Source organism: Homo sapiens, chromosome 6 (assembly GCF_000001405.40).
Source record: "Homo sapiens chromosome 6, GRCh38.p14 Primary Assembly".
Classification (NCBI taxonomy): Eukaryota; Metazoa; Chordata; class Mammalia; order Primates; family Hominidae; genus Homo; species Homo sapiens.
In genome coordinates this window covers 119,292,732-119,313,514 of record NC_000006.12, presented here as the reverse complement: position 1 = coordinate 119,313,514, position 20,783 = coordinate 119,292,732, and the positions used below count along the sequence as shown (strand labels likewise).

Genomic DNA, 20,783 nt, shown 5'->3' with positions numbered 1-20,783 from the left:
ACCTTGACAGCCTTTGGGAAAGAGAGAAGGGGATACATTTATTTCAGCATTTGAAAGAGCAAAGCATGTGAATGAGTATTTGAATTTCATATGGGGTAAAATTGGAAACTATCATGGCTAGAGGGCTTTTTTTCACATACTGGGTGATGACAGCTAGAAGGTGACTGGAGGTGGCCCTCGCTCACTGAGGAATGATGTGAGGACAAGGATCATTCCTAAGACTGTCTTGGGTGGCATCTTGATACCTGTTGCATGAGAGGGTGCTAAATACTTTCAGATGTAATTGTGGTAGACTCCAGGCAGGCAGTCTTTGTGAAGGCGGAGTCACATCAGGCTCTGCACTGTCACCTCTTGGTGACATTAGCCTCTTTTCTTTCCTTTCCCGTAATTGCTCTGCCCACTCTGAGTTCAGCTAAAGGTCAAAGCATCAAAGGAAGGAGAACTTCCTTCCTAAGTTCTCCCTTATCTGTTTAACCTCCTGAAGCCTAGGAGGACTCTGAGGAGGTGGCGTGAGTGGATAAAGGTCAGCCAGGCTCATTGAGTGTCTTCTAGTCAGGTGCCCTGTCACACCTGATCTCCTCACTGTGCTGTAAGGGAGATAATACTTACTTTTTTAGTAAGCTGTATTTTCTGAGCAGTTTTAGGCTTGTAGCAAAATTGAACAGAAAGTATAGAGAGTTCCCATATACACCCTGTCCCCACACAGGCACAACCTCGCAGTCTCAGCACCTCAACCCACAGTGGTGCATTTGTTAAAATGGGTTATTCTTTTTGAAAGATGAGAGAACTAAGGGGTAGAAGGGCAGACCCTGAGGCAGCTGGCCTCAGGCTTATCCACTGTGACCTGCTCTGCCATGTGGCTGTGATAGACCGGCCTTAGTATCAGGTCTCTTGCTGCCCAGTTGTCCTTCTGGCCCTCCAGATCTTCATTCCCATAAGGAAATGTAGGTGGTGGGGATAGCATTAGATAAGCGGTGGAAGGGGTGGTTAGATTGCCGTCTTTTCTTGATCCATGGAGAAATTCTCTTCCAATGGATAAGTGAAGGTTTGGAGAAATTGTGAATTAATTTCCCCCAAGTTGCTTTTTATCTGTGTCTCTCCGTTCTGTTTTCCAGTTCCACCAAAGATTGAAAGAAATAAGGTTAATTCAATGACCCTAAAAATATTTTATCTGAAAGCTCTAGAAGTTACTTTTATATGACAGCCAAGTAATTTTAAGCAAAGTTTGATGGAAATTGCTGTCAGGCTTTTAAAATCACTGTTTTTCAAAGCATCAACCCTAAGTGTAGTTTTAAGAGAAATGGCACATCACTTTCAGGTTTAACAATCAGTGAGTTAGATTGCTCTTCCACCTCAGACCTTGCCTGAATCAGACACAGCCCCTTGTGTCCCCAAGAACAGCAGGGACATGAGTATCACTGGACCACAGAACTTCTTCCCTTTCATGACAAACAGCGGACTGTTATATAAGTGAGCCAAACATGGCCTCTGTCTGTTGGTCTCTAGGTTATTTCCTCACTGCAGGCTGAGACCCGTTAATTCAAGAGCCCGCCAACACCAAACTAATTTTTAATACATCTAATTATTTTAAAAATAGCCCGAACAAGCAGATTTTTAGCATTTAGAGCCTGCCTTACACGTTCTGTGAAACCTTACCTAGCATCTGTTGGCCATTGATAAGATAGAGCTTTGTGGTTTTAAGACACCGAGCTGCTACTGCCCTTCAAGGTCTTCTGATAATAGAGTTACTCCATCATGCTGCAAAGTGACATCACTTAGTCCTAAGCCCTCATTCCGATGCACCTCTCCCTTGGGAGTTCCTTTGTCCTCCTCCCCTTCTGCATGGTGACCTCCTCACCCTAAGCCTCTGGATGCCCTCCCATGCAACCCTGTACAAAGCACCACTCATTAAAGCTTGTTGTGTGTTAACTGCCTCTGTGGTCCTGTCTTTTTCCCAGATCAACCTCAAATCCCTCGAACAAACCCCCACTACACAGCAGTACCTTGGCACAACTAAGATTTTATGAAAGCTAGTGTATGAACCTGCATAGCTAAAGATTACCCCACATTGCCTTACACCTGGAGAGGACCTTTCTACTCTTCCTTTCTTCCTCCATCTTTTGGATACCAAATAGTTGTGTATATTTTTAAATGTATATATTGATAAAGAGCTTGTGTACAATGTAAGTTTGCCTGGTTTCACATATATTTGTCCCTCCTATTTATGTGTTATACTAGGAAAAATTATGAAGCTCTTTTAGATTGCAAAGATCACAGACATTCTTAGGTTTTTAATAAAAGTAATTATAATGCCTAAAATGCATTGAGCACTTAATGTGTGTCGGGCAACATGTTAAACTCTTTACATGCCTTGTTTTATTTAATCATCACCACAACCAGTGAGGTGTTTTTATTCACATTTTGTGTGTGCAGAAAGTGGGCTCAGAGAGATTAATTGCCTTGCTTAGAGTCACACTGACGATGGCAGAGCTCAGATATGGACCCAGTTTCTCATATGCGTTCGCCCGTGACCCGCTTTTACGCCTTACTCCTCAGTAAATGAGAAGCTTTTCTACAAGTACACATAGGGAAGTAAACAAACAGTCTCAGCAGGCAAAGAGGAAAAGGGAAGATGATTCACCAACATTCAGGACTCCACAGCATTGTTGATAGTTCTATAGCTGCTGTACAGGCCTAACACAGTTCCACTGGGGAACCATCCAAGTGGCAAAATCATCTGTACCTCAGCCTCCTCTTAACTTTTTTCTCCTTGCCTTTCTTGTCTTCTTTCTCATGGCTTTTACTGCTTCACAGCCCTTTCTCCTGTGTATTTGTACTTCTCTGTTTCTGTGTCACTCTCTGGCCTCTAGGTTCTCTCTGAATGTTTCCCAGTTACACTTCCCTAGGTAGAGTGGATGGTTGGGTTGACTCATCCCATCCATTAGTGAGAACTACACACCAGGGCGCCCCACGTTGGAGGCTCATGGCTAGCTCTCAGCAATCTGCCTTTGAGTTGGGCACCAGGCCCTGGTTCATTCAGCTGGGCCAGCATCACATCCTACAAACTACGGAAATTTTATGTAAGAACCCATAGAAGGAGGCCATAAGTGGGACTTGAACTTGTAGGCTTCAGTGAAATAGGGCAATGAAAGCCCAAAGTTTTCCTGAGATCTGTCTGGAAAAATCATGTAATTTTCAAAGACTTTTGATGTGTCTAATATAAAAATTTAAAGATTATGTGTTTAAAACTTCAGCAAATGGAAGTATTTGCTAAGAGTAGTTCTAGCAATAAATATGCAAGATATGAAGTCTATGCATACTAGGGAAATTCCAACGTATTTCTTTCTTCAGCGTGCTTGATTAGATCAGGACATTAAACTTAATTTGTTAGAAACAACAATAGAGTTGTATACAACATTTAATTAGTTTTCTTACTCTTCTATATTCACAAACATTTACTGAGTATGTAAACAGGCAGTATCTTATGTTTCCATACATTATCAATGAGATAGTAAATGAGACAGCATCCTGTATACTTCCCTTTTAGTCCTTTAGAATCTTTTCATAGTGTAGCAGATACTCAATAAATGACCTGGCCTAATTAATGAGCCCTGATGCCAATTAAGAAGAAAGTACAAATCAAAGAATCTTTTCTTATAAGCATGGAGTCAAGGGGAAGTAATACTATTTCTTTAATGCCTTATACCCAATTTAATATTTTCTGGGTTAAAATAATGGGTTGCAATTATGAAATTTTGGTCCTTTGTTTCCTTTCACACAGCGTGTCAGCTCTACCTTTCACCAGGAGCAAATATACGTATTCAGGAAGAAAACATCTTTGGCTTGCTTTCAGTTTATCTTTTTTTGTGAGGGTTTCACTACTGCATTTGAAATTTGGGCCCATTTTACTTCTACGTGGAATGTCAGGCTTTAGAACCCTAATTAAGTTAATGAAAGACTACAAAAGAAACCTAAGGAGCCTGTGAAGAGAGGTGATCAATTCTGTCCTTGTTAGTAGTTAACTTTTAGAAGTGACTTCCTTGTCCTGCCAGCTCATGAGAACTGGGTCTAGAGAAATTAAATGACTTTATCCTCATCGCCACTCAGCTGGGTAATGGCTTAATACTACAAAATTAAAAGCTGGTAGCCTTTTGATGTTTCAAATATTTGTGTAAGTCGTAAATCTGAGTTAACAAGTTGATTTTATATGTGACTTTTAAATTGAAGCTTATAGTTATTCTATGCATGTGTACACACACACTCACACAATGTCTTACAGTTAGCTTTAATGTGGTAAATCATTTCCAGAAGTGATCAGCTGGTGGAATTGGTTAACAATATGACTGTTCCTCTTTATAATTGCTGGATAAACCCCTCCCAGTGCTTTGTTCAGGGCATTTTGACCACATCATTTTCGTCTTTTCTAACTTTAACTCATAGAAATCCCATGGGATCAGGAACCCATTTTGAGAAATATGTCAGCAACTTTTGAAATGTAGGAAACTAACCAATTAGTGTCAGCTTTTCCCTTGAGGGAAGAAGATAGGAAAAGTTAATATATACTACAGAGGTTACTTTAGGAGATCCTTTACTAGTGGTACATTGTATAAGTGATCATTTTTGACAAAGCTGAAACAAATTATCGTAACTTTTTTTTCTGTTTTGATGTTCAGTATATTCCAAAAGCTTTTGAATTTATAAAGTATCTTTGGAAATTTACAGGAATGAAGAATTTACTAAATGTAGTACATTTAATGGAAAAACCAAATAAAATCAAATATAATCTCTAGGTGTTCTGTAGATTTTTTATATACCTAGTCTTTCAGAGGCTCATTGGTTTCTATTTTTCTGTGATGTGAATTTAATTAGTTTTAATATAGATTTAAAATTTAATAAACGTGATTACCTGCCATCTGTCAAGCAGTATGCAAGGTGCAAAAACATATACCACGATCATGTATTCCTTACATGCATCCTGTAAGGAATTATCCCAAATTTTCAGATAAGAGTCACAAAAACTGTGACTCATCCTTAAGTATGTGACTCATCAGTGGCGTTGTAGGGATTATAAATCAAGTCATGTGACCCTCAAATCTGTTTTACTTCTCAACAAAATTAATGTATAAGAAAAAAATCCTGAAAACACTACCATATACACATTCTTTTGATTGTTGAAAGATCAACAATCTGATTCAGTAAAGGAAGATTTTTTTTGCTGACTCATTAAAGGAAGGTGATGCAATGTGTTGGTTAATGCCATGGGCTTTGGAGTCAGGCTAGCTTGGAGATGAACCCTGGCACCTTGTCTGTGGAAAAATGTGGTGACTGAGTAAAGTTGTTTTTTAACTTCCAAACCTCAGTTTCTTCATCTCCCTAACAATGGTAATAAAACATATTTCATAGGGTTGTAGCAAGAATTGGTTACAATACTAAAGTTATAGCATTTAGCAGAGTACTTAGCAGATAGTACTGATTCTTGGTAACTGTTGGTAGTAATAGTGGTGAGTTAGGAAGGTAATTTACAAGTTGGTTAAAGATGCTGATTGTTGTGTTCAGGAACATATGAAAACTTTGTTATTAATAAAATGATACTGATCTCAATGAAGATTTTGAGTGGTAAATGGCCCGTAAATAATATCTATAACTTTGTGTGATGCTTTAAGATACTCTAAAATATGGAGCCTGATTGGAACCTTTTTCAATTATGTCCATATTTTGATTACTGAGTTCTAGACAGTTGAAGAGTCCCAATCCTTTTAAAAAATATGCATACAAAAATAATTATATGTGTTCTTTGAGTCATTGAAAAAAGTTTATACAACTAATTTATGGCAGAGGGATTTGGCTTTTAAAACCATTATTGGTGTGTAGACTCTGAATTAGGAATATACTGGATCAATCTTCAGTTACATACATATACACACATGTATCCAATTAAAGATTGATTACATTAAAATAAACAAGTTTTTCCAAAATCTAGGCATAATCACAGTGTTATTTTTTATTTCCTGTAAATATTTTAAAATACTTCTCCATATAGTCTTCGTCAGGAAACATCAAAGTGGTTTAAAGGGATAACCTGAATATTTGTCTGTATGCTGTGAGGCCAACAAAGTAAGAAGAACTTTGTGCAGAAATATAAATTTTAAAGATAGTCTTTGCAGATTTAATCTGTTATGAAAATGAACTAGATAAATGTAGACATGGTTCATGCTTTTAAGATAAGCTAAATTCCTGTTGTTGGGAACTGACTTTTGAAAATGGTATTTGCATTAAATAGGATTAAATGGACTCAAAAACGAAAACTTCCCATTTGTAAACATAAAAGGGTAGTGTGTATGTGTACCAGCATGTTTGTATGAGCATGTGTGTTCTGGTTTATATAATCATAATTCTTTTACTTAGTCATCCTTTTAACTAATGAATTTTAATGTTTTAGCCTTTGCTCTTCAATATATTACCTATTTTGTAGCAAAAACATCTCCATTCAAATTATAATCCTGTTTTTATTTTTTTTTTCAGATGATGAAACATGCTTGGAATAATTATAAAGGTTATGCCTGGGGATTAAATGAACTCAAACCTATATCAAAAGGAGGCCATTCAAGCAGTTTGTTTGGTGAGTAGATGTGCTTTGGTTTCTTAGTGACGATAACTTCTCCCCAATTGCTTGAGCTTATGGATGGTGGAGAAGTCTGTGTAACATGGCCCTCCAGGCCATTTGGTTAGGAAACTTGCACACCTGATGGAATTAGATAAGGATTGTGCATAGTGTGTCCTTCAGCTAGAGTAGTGGCTATGTGTTCGAATAACCTGCTGGAATAACCTGCGTAACTTTAAAGAGTACTGACGCCTGGGGCATACTTCTAAAGATTCTCACTTAATGGTTATAGGGTGCAGTATCATAAATTTTAGCCTCTGGGGTGATTCCTAGCATAGAAGCACTTGGTGGGCTGCACTAACTGCTTCCTGTTAGGTAAAAGCTGTGCCTTTATAGATAATCTGGGCAAGGCAGCCAGCCATGGTGATCTTCACTGTATCTCAATTTTGGCTATAGGTTTCTCCTGTTTGTACCATGGAAGAGAAAGTGAGGATGGATTAGGTTAATTGAACTTCCATTTATCCACTTTTGCAAGCTTTATTGCATTTGGTTCCCACAGCAGCCCTCTGTGACTGGTAGTGTGGGTATTAATAACATTCCATTGTGGAAGTAAGGAAGCTAAGTAACACAAGGGTGTCATGGATTCTTTGGGTCACAGAGCTGCCCAGTATCCTCCTACTGCACTTGATTTCTTTCTAATCCTCAAAATTTGTCTGTAAGTAACAGGATGAAGGGAATACAGTGTTACTCTGGAACTTCTGAATTCAACAATAGAACACTTTCTATACTTTAACTGAAAATGTTAAATAATAGCAATTCACATAATAACAGTTTCAGCACACATTTATTGAGCACTTACTGTGTGCCAAGTGCCATTCATGCATTATCTTATTTAGCCTCATTAAAATATACATTTTATAGGTGAGAAAAATGAGGCCCAGAGAATAGTTTTCCCAGAGATAGCCACCTACTAACTGGCAGAGCTGGGACTTGAACCCTGGTGTGGCTAACATTAGAGTCCATGCTCTTAATTCTGACATTTTGCTTTTCCATTTATTTAGAACCTTCCATGTGTTTGGCTTTACTTGTAGCACTGGTGATAATGAAAATAATACGAGTCTTTGCACAGGTCTTTACACAAGTCTTTGCCTAGTACACAGCATATAATATGTAAATAGTGATTTATCAATGCGCCAGGTGGTTCAATATATACTTCCATGAAATTCTGAGGAACCAGTAGGACCTCAGGTTGGGAGAAAGGCATTGCAGGGTTTGCAAGAACAGGTAGAAAGAGCTGGGAAAAGTAGAAGAAAAGAGACTGTTGGTCTATCAGAGTGACACAGTTTTGAGATGAAGAGCACCTATACCTGAAGTAGAGGCAGTAGAAGTAATTCCAGACACTTCTAAAGTAGTGTTTTTAGGACCCAGCTACCAGTTAACATGGGTAAGGGGAGGTATGAATTGAAGAGAGAAACTCTGAAACCTCATGCAGAGCCAGAGGCCTTTATTTTTTCATTGTTTATTACAACATTTTTTGAAAAAATTATAACTCCATTTTGCTTTTATCTCTATAAAAGTCTTTGGTACCATTAAGAAATCAGTTAATGTGTTAAATTGCCATAATCTTTATCAGAGGGACTATTTGGTTCTCTGTTAAAACATTTATGATTTTAAAATTTGTTATTGAACATTAAAAATATACTAGGTCTCTTAGGCCTGACGTTTGCTTTTTGGTTTTCATTGGCTTTTTCGGTAAAAAACACTTTTCATAATCAAGAACTTGCTCTTAGAAAAAGAGCTTCAGGTATTAGCATAAGGAAATGAAATATTAATAATTCAAATGGTATTTAATCTCATTCCATCTTCAAATTAAAATAAGATACATAATGATTTTCTTATTATAGAAATACCAATACAATGGAACTTGTTACAAAGACATACAAAGTTTTCATTTTTATGGATGAGAAATGATTTCTTTAGCCCACTTCTCAGCCAAATTTCTTATCTGTGTAATATGTAGTCCCGTATATTCGCTCAGCAAACCAGGGAGAGGATAGGAAAATGTAAGTTCTTTACCACCTGGCTTCTTAGGAAATAGTTTTTAGTTTGAGCTAAGTTATTTTGAGTCTTGACCCTAAAAACAACCTTTTTGGAGAAAGTATTAGGCATTATGAATCTTTTCCCAGTTATTAGCCGTTGGGGAGCTCTTCAGGTCTGCTTCCTTCTCATGGTTGTTTCTCACCAGCTATGTTGAAGCATCCATCTTTTTCCTAGACAGAGTAAGACTGGTTCCTTCCTAAACAACTTTAATGAATATAAAAAAAATCTTAAGTATTCATGATCTCCCAATTCCATCTTAAGCAGGAAACTAGAACTATTTATTTCAAGATTTCAGTGGTACAAAAGATTTCAAGTTAAACTGTACCTCAAAGAGAGGTATTTTGTGCTTGACCAATTATACTCATTTAAAGCTAAAATACAAGAAATACAAATATTAACTTAAGGCTCTTAATAACTTAGAAATGAAATGTCAATGAAAATATGAAGCTGATATATTTCAAAATGCCCACTTTAAAATATTCCCTCCAGTGTCTCTCTGAATCCATAGTTCTAGCTTCAAAAAATTTAAAGGAAATTGGATTACAGTAAAACATTTCACAAAATGCAAGGGTCTTCAGGTTTCTTTCTCATTATTATTAGATAAGATTTACAACTTTTATCTTTTTTGAAAATCAAGTGTTTTAATATTCTATTATTTATAGTTTCCTAATGATAACTTCTTAACTTGGCATTTGAAAGGCATGTGCCAGTGAAATAATTTTCACTTATATTTATAGATTTGGTCTTGGATCGTCCAGAGTGCTAATTACATATAGGAAGTGTAGTGCCCAGTCTTTCAGCAGCAATTCATTGTGCTCCTGAGTGCAGGATCGGCTGCCTGCCACTTGCACAGCCAATAACAAGGATGAAGTTCAGTGAAAGGAAAATGACTTTTATTTCCAAAGCTAGGAGTGGCAGGCTTACTCCTCTAGAAACTGCTTCAGACTTGAGGCTGGGAAGAGGGTCTTAAAAATGGGACTTGGACTGGGAGGCATATGGGAAGGGTGCCTGAGTATAAGATCTGCATGTCTTGTTCTGGTGGCTGTATCTAGCTGTAGTCTACCTGGAGTGCGGCTGACATATCAACAATAGCTGGGTTGCTGACTAACTGCCTTGAGGTAGTCTCTGAAGTTTTGCAGCTGGGTCTCCATGCTTGATCTGTCACAAGATTAGCCCCTGGAACTTCTTAGTAAGCACATATTAGATCCAAGTATACAGTTACGTAAATGTTCATGGGGTGAAGGAGTGCATAGTGGGAAAGGGGAGTGAAGTTTCAAAGCATGTTTCAAGGGGATATTTTAAGACTAAGGAAAAAGGTTTCTACAGTTTGTTTCAAGGTTACATCTTGAGACTGGAAGAAAGGACAAAGAAAAACATTTTAAACTGCGTTTTGAAGCTAAACTACTCAATTACAATTGGGCATCATTGTCACAATTCCACAGGACACCATAAGGAATCTGGAGATAAGACATGACTTGTTTGTTCTAAGTTTATAGGCTAAGTGCATGCCTCATGACTCTAATTCTAGTACTCTGGAAGGCCAAAGTGGGAGGATTGCTTGAGGCCAGGAGTTTGAGACCAGCCTGAGCCACATAGCAAGACTCATCTGTACAAAAAAAATTTTAAAATTAGCCAGGCATGGTGGCACACACGTATAATCCCAGCTACACAGGAAGCTGAGGCAGGAGAATCACTTGTGCCTAGGAGTTTGGGGCTGCAGTGAGCTATGATTGCACCACTGTACTCCACCCTGGGGGACAGAGCAAGACCCTGTCTCAAAAGAAAAAAAAAGTTTATAGACTAAAAGATGCACACGTGTAATTTTAATACAAGATAGAAGGTGTTGAATGCCAGGGCAACAGGAAGTCTCCATGTCATTGGAATTCAGAGGAAATAAACCACAGAGGTCAGGACTTGTAGGGGATGGAGGGTAGTTAGCATCAGTCAGAATTCATACGGGGGTGAAATTTCATTTTAGAGTAATGTCTTCTTAGAACTATCACTAAACAATTTTAGATCTAATTATATTTAAAGTTTTGCACAGGTGCACTTTGATGTAATTACATCAGTCTTAAAAAGTCTGTTGCTCCTTGGTTTTAGGCCTATTCTTTTCTTGCTAGAGAATGCAATCACAGGCCGGGTATGGTGGCTCACACCTGTAATCTCAGCACTTTGGGAGGCCTAGGTGGGTGGATTATGAGGTCGAGAGATTGAGACCATTCTGGCCAACATGGTGAAACCCCGTCTCTACTAAAAACACAAAAATTAGCCAGGCGTGGTGGCATGCGCCTATAGTCCCAGCTACTCAGGAGGCTAAGGTAGGAGAATCACTTGAACCCGGGAGGTGGAGGTTGCAATTTGCTGAGATCGCGCCACTGCACTCCAGCCTGGGCAACAGAATGAGACTCCATCTCAAAAAAAAAAAAAGAGAGAGAATGCAATCACTAATGAAATTTCTAAGAGAAGTTTCTGAGACATTTATTTTTATAACTCAGAAGAAACTTTAAAGATTAGTATATCAGTCGATAGCCCGTGATAATTTTTAGTTTGGTGCTGTTTTATACTTTCATTGAAAGAATTTTAGACTATGTTTAATATTATTGCTTATTAATAAATCCAGCATTACCCTCTCCCTTTCTTAGTTATGGTCAATTTACATATATTTTATCTAGGCAAAGTATTTTATCAAATATTTTTCTGATCTTTTCAGGTAACATCAAAGGAGCAACTATAGTAGATGCCCTGGATACACTTTTTATTATGGAAATGAAACATGAATTTGAAGAAGCAAAATCATGGGTTGAAGAAAATTTAGATTTTAATGTGGTAAGTTAAATAAGAATTTCTAATTCAGTCCTTAAATTTCAGTTAACATGGATAAATTCTGTAGTGGGCCCTATTATTGTATTATAATGTACCCTAACAAAAATATTGCAACTTTAGGTAGTACAAATACTATTATCTTATACTATATTCTTAAATTGTCCTCACTACACAAATGTGTGTCTTTGTTTTTTGGCAAATGAAGAGTAAGAGAAAAGAAGTTAGTATTTATTGAGACCTACATGTGCCTAGTATTCTTGTTCAGTCCCACTGCAACTCTATGAGATGGGCATTAATTTCACACCTTTGTATATTAAACATCTTAACCTCAGAGGCTTACTCCAGATTGCACAGCTGGTTGTGTGTCAAGAGCTGTGATTCTGATGTAGGTCCATGGGGCTCCAGTGCTTATGCTTTTACACTGTGTCATGGTGTATCCAGCAGTAGCAGCAGCATTCATTTTCCCGTAAAGAAAGATTCAAATTTTGTGGATCTTATTCATCTCTCAGTAAAAATAAATTGATTATATATGTGATATATTTTTTAAATTCTGTATGCTATCATTCTTAGCAAATATTTCATGGCCCATTGTATACTGAGGGAAAGAATCAGAATTAAGGATAGTGAATACTTCTAATACTTCTTGATAATTTTGACTGGGGAGGACTACGTCTTATCAGCTCTAATTTGATAGTCATTGTTTTACTTTATAATGATATTGACAAAGAACTTATACTAAGAGAAGAAAGCATGTAGGCCATGGAAGTTTTTAGTCGTTCACTTCAGTGTGTGTTATCAGTATTATTTCTAATCTGAGACTACTTTGCAGAAATTCTCGTAAAGTCTCTTGTCTTTCGGGTAAGCATTTGATAGTTTCTGTAAATCCCAGTCACCACGCACAAGTAACATGCTGTGTGTTGAAAGTGGACAAAGAGAATTTCCCTGCTGTTGCCTCTGCTTTGTGGCACTCTTGTTCTCTCAGAGACCAAATGAGGACACCAGTGTTAGGTAGAATATTAAGGATCAGTAAAGCTAAGTCTTTCCCCCATCTATTTCAATTAAAAACTTATATAAATTAAAAGTTTAATATTTTGTTTCTACTCCCCTAATTAATTGCTATATATACCGCATTTGGGAGACCTAAAAGACAGGCAGATGAGTCTGTGTTTAATTTGCCTAATAATTGAATCTAGAATATAAAGGAGAGAATATTCCGATCAATATTAAGGGACCTTGGGGATCAATGTGTTAAACCCTTCTATTTTAAACATGAGAGAGCAGGCATAAGGAGCTAGTGATTTGCTCAAGGTTATGGAGCTATTTGATTAGAATGACCTGTGGTAGTGCTGATATTGATAGAGCTAAATATGAAAAATTAAAGCACTGGAAAAAAACGGTTTCATTTTGGAGGCTTGCTTTCTTAATAATACTTCTGTGGACCGGGCGTGGTGGCTCACACCTGTAATCCCAGCACTTTGGGAGGTCGAGGCAGTTGGATCACGATGTCAGGAGTTTGAGACCAGCCTGGCCAACATGGTGAAACCCCGTCTCTACTAAAAATACAAAAAATAGCCAGGCATGGTGGTGTGTGCCTGTAATCCCAGCTACTCAGGAGGCTGAGGCAGGAGGATCGCTTGAACCCAGGAGGCGGATGTTGCAGTGAGCCGTGATTGCACCACTGCACTCCAGCCTGGGCAGTAGAGCAAGACGCCGTCTCAAAAAAAAAAAACAAAAACAAAACAAAACAAAAAAACTTCAGTTCTACCTTCTTATTAAAATCAGCTCCTACCTTCAAAAACCTGCAGGCTTTTCTTTAGCTATGTATGAAACCGACTGATATCTGTCTTTTCAAGAAAGGGTAGGGGAATAATAACTAAATTCCTCTGAAACACTAATGATGGAAAACTGGAAAGCATACTTTAGTAACACTTGACTTATGAATAGTGTCCAAGTTTCTTACTGAATCTTGGGTTGGTCCATCTGGTAATTGTAGCATTGTTGCCCCAAACCTCCTCAAATATAATAGCGGTTTTTTTCTTTTCACGACCTGTGCAACCTGTGGTAGTCTGAGGAGCTCTGGACTTGGGGCCAGAGGTTGGGGTTGGTGGAGGATGAGGAGCAGTTTTATTTAAAATGACTAAGTGCAAAGGTAACAGACAAGATGTTACTGTAACAGAAGGCAGTTGGCTGTCCTCAGACCACCACAGGATGCCTTGAATGTGTTCCATGGGTCCTGGAGACTTGGGAGAAGGAAAGATGAATTTAGTAGGGGATATCAGACTATGTAGAAGAGAAGAATTTACTGGGCTTCCTTACTTGTAAGGTGAAAGGATTAGACTAACATTGAGTTATTGCTAAGATACTGAACTTTGAAGTTTTCTTTATTTAAATTTTTATTTTAGTTTTTAATAAAATTTTACTCAATTAGTATGCAGACTTTTGCATATATATTTTAGGCCTGTTAATGATAGTTTTGGGTTATACCTTTCAAGATATAATTTTAAAATATATACAACTGTTATGTATTCATAAAAATTAAATATACATATTTCAAAAAATTACAGCCATATTTCTCAAATGTCTTTATTATACTATTTTCTTAATATAAGAGGTCTTGAAAAATATTTGTTGCAGGTCTCTTTGGGTATTACCATGTTTTCCTTTTAAAAAATATGTTGTCAACAATATCCAAACAATAATGTTTCCCATATTAAAAATAGTAACATACAAATTCTGGAGAGGTATATTGACTTACTTTTCTAATCATTACATTGTGAAGTTTTCCAGCTTACTGTATTCTAGTTGGTTTTAATATGTCACATTAGAATTTGTCTTATATTCACCCATTCTATCCAGAAATCCAAATGATTATTTTTAAAATTACAGGATTTTTCTTCAAAAAACATTGAGAAATTTTTCTCATTTATATGAAGAAAGGAGAAATTGAAAAAGCCTTAGCAAAAAAAAAAGAAAAATTATACTAAATAACATGTAGTATCATTCTAGCTTATAAATATTATTACTTATATTTTAGTTAACACTTTTTCCTGATAAGGTATTCTAATTGACAGTGTAAGGGTATTATTTAAAAAGTTGGCCAGGCGCAGTGGCTCACTCCTGTAATCCCAGCATTTTGGGAGGCCGAGGCGGGTGGATCATGAGGTCAGGAGATTAAGACCATCCTGGCTAACATGGCGAAACCCCGTCTCTACTGAAAATACAAAAAATTTCCCAGGCATGGTGGCACACGCCTGTAGTCCCAGCTACTTGGGGGGCTGAGGCAGGAGAATAGCTTGAACCTGGGAGGCAGGGGTTGCAGTGAGCTGAGATTGCACCACTGCACTCCAGCTTGGGCAACAGAGTGAGACTCAGACTCAAAAAAAAAAAAAAAGAAAAGTTAATGCATCTAAATTTATTGCAAAGGGAAAATAAAAATGAAACAAACATTATTGTTGAGAGTTTGTTTATCCTATGGTGCTCCTAAGTATAAACAAATTTTACACTCAAGAATAAATTTGTTAATGTGAAATATCCAATTTATATCACTGAAAAGTATAAAATAAATGTTTTGTATTGGTTTATACTGTAATTAACTAAAACTCATTTCCTTTTCATTAGGGCATAGGAAGTCGATTCATTTTGCATACTTGGTAGCACAAAGTTCAAATGACTTTAATATCTGGCTTAAAATAAGTTGGGATAATATGTTCTGGGGAGTAAGGAACAAGGACTTCACAGAAGGAGCTTGTATTCAGTTCAAGTATCTGTAGAGGCACATAGATATTAGCAGAAAACCCTAAGTATTGACTCCATGAATGCATTTTCTAATTTTAACTCAAAGTAATCTTAGGACAAAGGATCTAAAACTGATTCTTGGTTAGTCACTCTTCATTCACTCATGTGTTATTTACTAAGTATCTTCTAAGGATCAGGCATTTACCCTTATGGAGCATTTAGTCTAGCAGGAAAAGTAGTCAGAGAACCCTAGCTAAGCCAGGCTATCTCAGGAGGGAAGAAATGAAAAGAGGTCAACTACTATTTGGCCAGGCGTGGTGGCTCACACCTGTAATCCCAACACTTTGGGAGGCCCAGGCTGGTGGATTTCTTGAACCCAGAAGTTCAAGAGCAGCCTGGGCAACAGAGTAAAACCCTCCCCACCGCCGCCATCTCTATTTAAAAAACAAAACAAAACAAAAAAACTCCAGCCTGGGCGACAGAGCGAGACTCCATCTCAAAAAAAAAAAAAAAAAAAAAAGGAAACTATTTAGTAATATGTGATACATACCAAGTATTATGATAGGTGATTTTTTTCATGGGTGTATCGTGTTTAATCTTTGTGACAAGCATACAGAGTAGTAACTGGTATTTTTCCCTATATTTATAGATGAATAGGTGGTTAATTAGGCTGTCCCAAATTATGCAGCAAGATCTCTGGTTTGAACACAGTCTGCCTAACTCAATGACCTTGTGTTTTTTTAATTGGAGAAGAAATGCAAAGAGTTGAGAAATATATACGCAGTCAGAGAATTTGAGTCCTCTGAGGTTAGGCATGTCATCTTAATATTAGATTACTAATTAGAGTTTATTGTTCAATAGTGATTTGATAAATATTTGTTAAATGAATGAGAAGTTAAGCCATCTTATCCTACTTCCTGACAGTCTGTGCTATACTCAGCTGGAAGAAAAGCTCAGGTGCAAGGGTAGCTGTATTGTGTCATCTGTTTATATAGTTACAGATGATCTGGAGTTCAAGTCACTTGGTCTACCTGTTATTACCTAACCTATTTCCAGAACAGATTTGTAGTGGCCCCTGATAACAGGAAGATCAGTTGCATAAGAACAAATGATCAAGGGTTTCCTATTTGGGCATTTCTAATTTCAATTGTGTTCTTTTACTGGCACTTAAAACATTATTGGTTACCTAGAACCTCACATGAGAAATATTGAAAACTATCTTCTGTAATGAATTTTATGGAATATGTAGAATTTTTCTCCAGATAACAATTTCTTATATTAACCCTCTGTAAAAGCTAAAGCTGTGTTAAAATTTTCCTTAAAGCTGTATTTCTGGACTGCAGTAAAGCGATATCTCAGTATGAGAGGCAGAGCCTTGAGAATGGCAAAGGATAGATGATCAGCCTGCTGTGGACACTAACTAGCAACACCCTGTAATTGTGATCTTTGGCAAGCATCTGGATCATGCCTTTAGTTGTAATGAACACTTTGTGTTTTGGAGAACAGAAGTTCTGGTGGCAACAGTGACTTTTTTTTTTTCTTTAATGTTAAGATCCAGATTGTTTGCATACCCAGTTGGAATGCCCTCCTACTTTTCAAGAAAGTAAGTTGTAGGGTTCCCTGTCAGGAGGATATATGTTGACTTCAAGAAGCAACTTTGGATCTTCTCAAATGCATGACTGAGTACTGGCTTAGGTCCAGAGTTCCATGCCATAGAGTATGAAAGAAGTTACTTTTGCCTTAGTGTTGCTCCTGAGAAAGGTCTGTTTTAGAGCCACATTACATCCTGATGGGCGCAGATAACTAAGTTAATTATCCTGTTAAATGAAGTTATTGAGTGTGTTCCATCTGAATGCTAGGGAATACCTACCAAGAGTGATGATTTGGGTTTTGGTTTTCAGAGGATACTGTGCTGTTCTCTCTGATGGTAATTAGGACTGCTGCTTGAGAGCCTCTGGACCTGCATGGTAAAACCAGTCTATTAACATAGAGAAGAGAGGTATTTGCATATCTTTGTGGCCCACAGAACTTGGACTTTGTTAGCAGTCTTAAGAGATTTGTCACGTTGCTTAAATAGGAAACCAAAGGCTGCCAGGACACACTGTGACAGACTGACTTACACTGTGAAATATTGCAATTTAATCGTTTAAAGGAGTTGTATACTTTTAATCCTCAAAGTGTTAATCCAGCACACACTTTGAAGTATCATTTATAAATAAAGGTGTATGCTAAGCCTAAACATAGGCAAGGCTTATTGGTAGTTACCAGTCTTTAATCAATGGTTTTGAAAAGTCTCATGTTGCTTCTAACAAAGCCATTGATTAAAGTATCGTTATCATGTGTTAGTAATGGAGCAGTTGTTATTTACATTGGATTTTGGTGAAACAGTTAATATTAAACAGAAATATTGCATTGGTATGTAGTGGGCAGTTATTAAAGCTTGCTTGATTCTCATGTATGATAATAGTCCCGTACCCCAGGCTCATAATTCACTAAGTAGAAAGCTGATACAGAGTTTGGAGGAATAGCTAGCAAAAGAGTAGTCTCTGATTGTAGAGATCGGAGAATTGTCCTTTTAAAAACAAAAACTATTACACTTTTAGTTCACTCTGAAAATCAAACACTCAGAATAGAATTTAAATATGTCTGATAAGTTCTTTTCCAAGAAATATTTTTCCATTTAATGCAATCAATCAGATCTGTCATGCTGTATGGAATCATAAGATAATAAGGAGAATTCTAATATAAGTGTGACTCTAAATAAACATCATAAGGCTTGAAGATCCAAAGAAACAATTTATTATCTGTTCCTCGAGCTTGCATCTCGATATAGCTCCTCAAGCAAAAGGAAACTGGCTGAATCTGCTCCAAAACTAAAATTTGTTATTTTCATTGTCAAGCCTGTTATTTCACTTAGTGAAATCTATTAAAATACGTCATCGTATAGCTAATTTTGGTGAATAAGTTGCCTATAAAAATATCAAATTTCAGAGTTGTTTAAAGTGCTGTCTTGTCTAGTGTGAAGAGGTTGGTCTTTCAGGTACTCATTTGGAAACAGATTTTGACGTGTTCATTTTCTCTGTTGCCTAGATGGGGTTAGATACTTCCTGTCCATGATCTCATGGTATGTTGGTTTAGAAAAAGCCTTTCTTTGCAGAGAGATGGAGCATGATGTTAGGATTGAAGGAGGGAAGCATACAAAATAATTTATATATTAGACTCTCTTTTTCATGTTAGCAGTCTTTGTCACTTTATCTCGTAAATTTACATACATGTATAGTAAATGAGTAGACAAAAACATATGGAAAAGGGATAGATCTAAGGTGGAAGTTATCAATCTCAAACACCCAAGACAATAATAGAGATTAGTACTGAGGCATAATTTTTTCATGATTTGTAATACTCATCTCTTGATTTTAGGTGTAAATTTAGGCATACCATGTATTTTATTCAATTTATATGAATTCAATTTAGATGAATCTGGTTCAGTGTGTTCTTTGATTAAGTGGTCATTGCTATAAGTAAATCAAAATGAAAGAACAATTTCTCCAATTCTGATTTTTTTATTGGTTGGTCTTAACCAAAAACTTCCAATCTCCTCTTGCTTATCAGTTGACATTAACTAATAGGTACATGGAATTTAAATAAAAGACGGGATGTACTTCTTAAACTGCCACTGATGTAAGACTGTGTACTAGAAGCCACTGAATACATGGGGCATACTGGAATGCAATCCTAAAGATTTAAAAGGGAAGTTACTTTTATTTTAAAACAAACTCAGATAGGTAGACTGCAAAATTCACATTAATTGTTAGGATAAATCTCACAAGATTTAGTGTTACAGGCTGCTTTGTCTGCCTACTGTCTTCCCCCTGCTGCAAATACCCCCTCTGTCATTAGGGTAAGTCGGTAGAAAACTTTTAGAACATTATGACTATTAATAAGAATGTATTCATTTAAATTTATTATTTAATGGAAATTAGAATCAGAAGTTTATAAAAATGGCCTGAGACCCTCATTTGTAGAAATTCACTTTTGAAAATCCAGATTTCATACAAAATATATCAAGCCCCAAAGGAAGTTGGTCAACTTCTATATTTCAAAAGAGGATTTTTAAGCCCTTGAGAAATAAGACCTCATATGGGCCAAAGAAGATGAGTATTTATGATTCTAAAGTTTCTGATTTTCCAGTGACCCTGGGAAGGTAGGTTTTAGTTCGTTTAGGCTGAGCTGCACAGTGGTAGTGGCAACAGCTGTCTATTGAGTGTCTGATGAGTGCGTTACCAGCTATTGTGTACATTGCTTTACATCATGGAGGAATTCATTGTCCCTTTCTACGTATGACAAAACCAAGACTCAGAATAAATTAGTTATCTGGGACCTCAAACTCAGATGGCTTCCAAATCAGCCTTCAATCCCAGGTCTTTCTGATTTCTGCAGGATAGCCAACCAATTTGGTGTGGTGGGAGAATTTTTATCTTCTTAGTCCTTTTCATCTACGAATCTATAAAGAGTTAACTAAAGGGTCTAAATTTCAATCTTTTGGCCTAAAAACATAATACAACCTAGAATACTGAAAGAGACCTCAAATTAAGGTTTCTAAATTATTTAAACTTAACTTTGAAAAGGAGAGAGAAAGAATTATATGTTGGAAATTCGAATGTGGTTCTGGTTTTCAAACAGAGAAGATGGTGACTTGAGAACTAGTGATGGTGGTGGTGTGATGTTCCAGAGCAAGATTTATTAAAGACAAGGACATAGCAGTCACTGGTATCCTTCATGGATTAACTAACAAACCAGATTTGCTTCTTAAACAGGCTCACTGGACAGACTATTAGATCCATGAAATCCAAAGCCATAGCAAGTGACCTTGAGTATGGCACCTTGCAGGGTCATTTCTCAATATCGTACAGTACAAGATAAATAGAATTTAGGTTTTAGAATATGTAATTGGATCAATAACTGGTTGAATAACTGCATCCAACAGTTGATTGATGTCTAGCTGAAGATATATTTCTGGCAGTGTTTGACATGACTCAGACCTTCACCTTGGAATAATTTTTATCGGATGTCTACATAAAGGTCTTGATTATCCAAAATTTTCACGGCAGGAAGAGAAAATGCATTATGTCAAGAACCTATAGCCAGAATAAGAATATAAGATCATCTTAACAGTCTTCAATAGGCAGAAATGTGGGAAACTGTTACCAGGTTTAAAAACTGAAAAACACAAGTACTAATTGAGAGGAATATGATTTGAGGGTTTAAGTTTATTAGATTTTATTATTAGATATTATTACTCTTAAACATAGGAAACGTAGTCACGTGAACCAAACTAAATACATGGGTTAGCTTCGCTTTTCCTTATCAGTAATTTTGTAGAATATTAAAGCCTTTGCCAATATTTATGTAAAATTCATTCAGAGTGATAGACCTCAAAGTTAAATTACACCTATATATAGTACTTTTAATCAGATTATATCAGGTGCACATTACAAATTATAAAATACAGTTAAACACACCA

General features: G+C 36.8%; 1 protein-coding gene across 4 annotated transcripts in view, besides 1 other annotated feature; it reads left to right on the top strand.

The window, feature by feature from the left end:
• MAN1A1 (mannosidase alpha class 1A member 1) overlaps positions 1 to 20,783 on the top strand; it is a 173,401-nt gene that overhangs the window by 37,091 nt on the left and 115,527 nt on the right. For all 4 annotated transcript variants that reach the window (XM_005266986.5, NM_005907.4, XM_011535833.3 and 1 more), the window contains 2 exons: positions 6,523 to 6,619; positions 11,412 to 11,527. In XM_005266986.5, the coding sequence (XP_005267043.1) occupies positions 6,523 to 6,619; positions 11,412 to 11,527 (213 nt within the window). The remainder of the gene's footprint in view (positions 1 to 6,522; positions 6,620 to 11,411; positions 11,528 to 20,783) is intronic.
• Positions 237 to 531: a silencer, noted in NCBI's record as "tiled region #13895; HepG2 Repressive non-DNase unmatched - State 14:Gen5'". NCBI's record gives its function as "represses a minimal TATA promoter and a strong SV40 promoter by Sharpr-MPRA in HepG2 cells {active_cell/tissue: HepG2}" and the evidence as "EXISTENCE:reporter gene assay evidence [ECO:0000049][PMID:27701403]".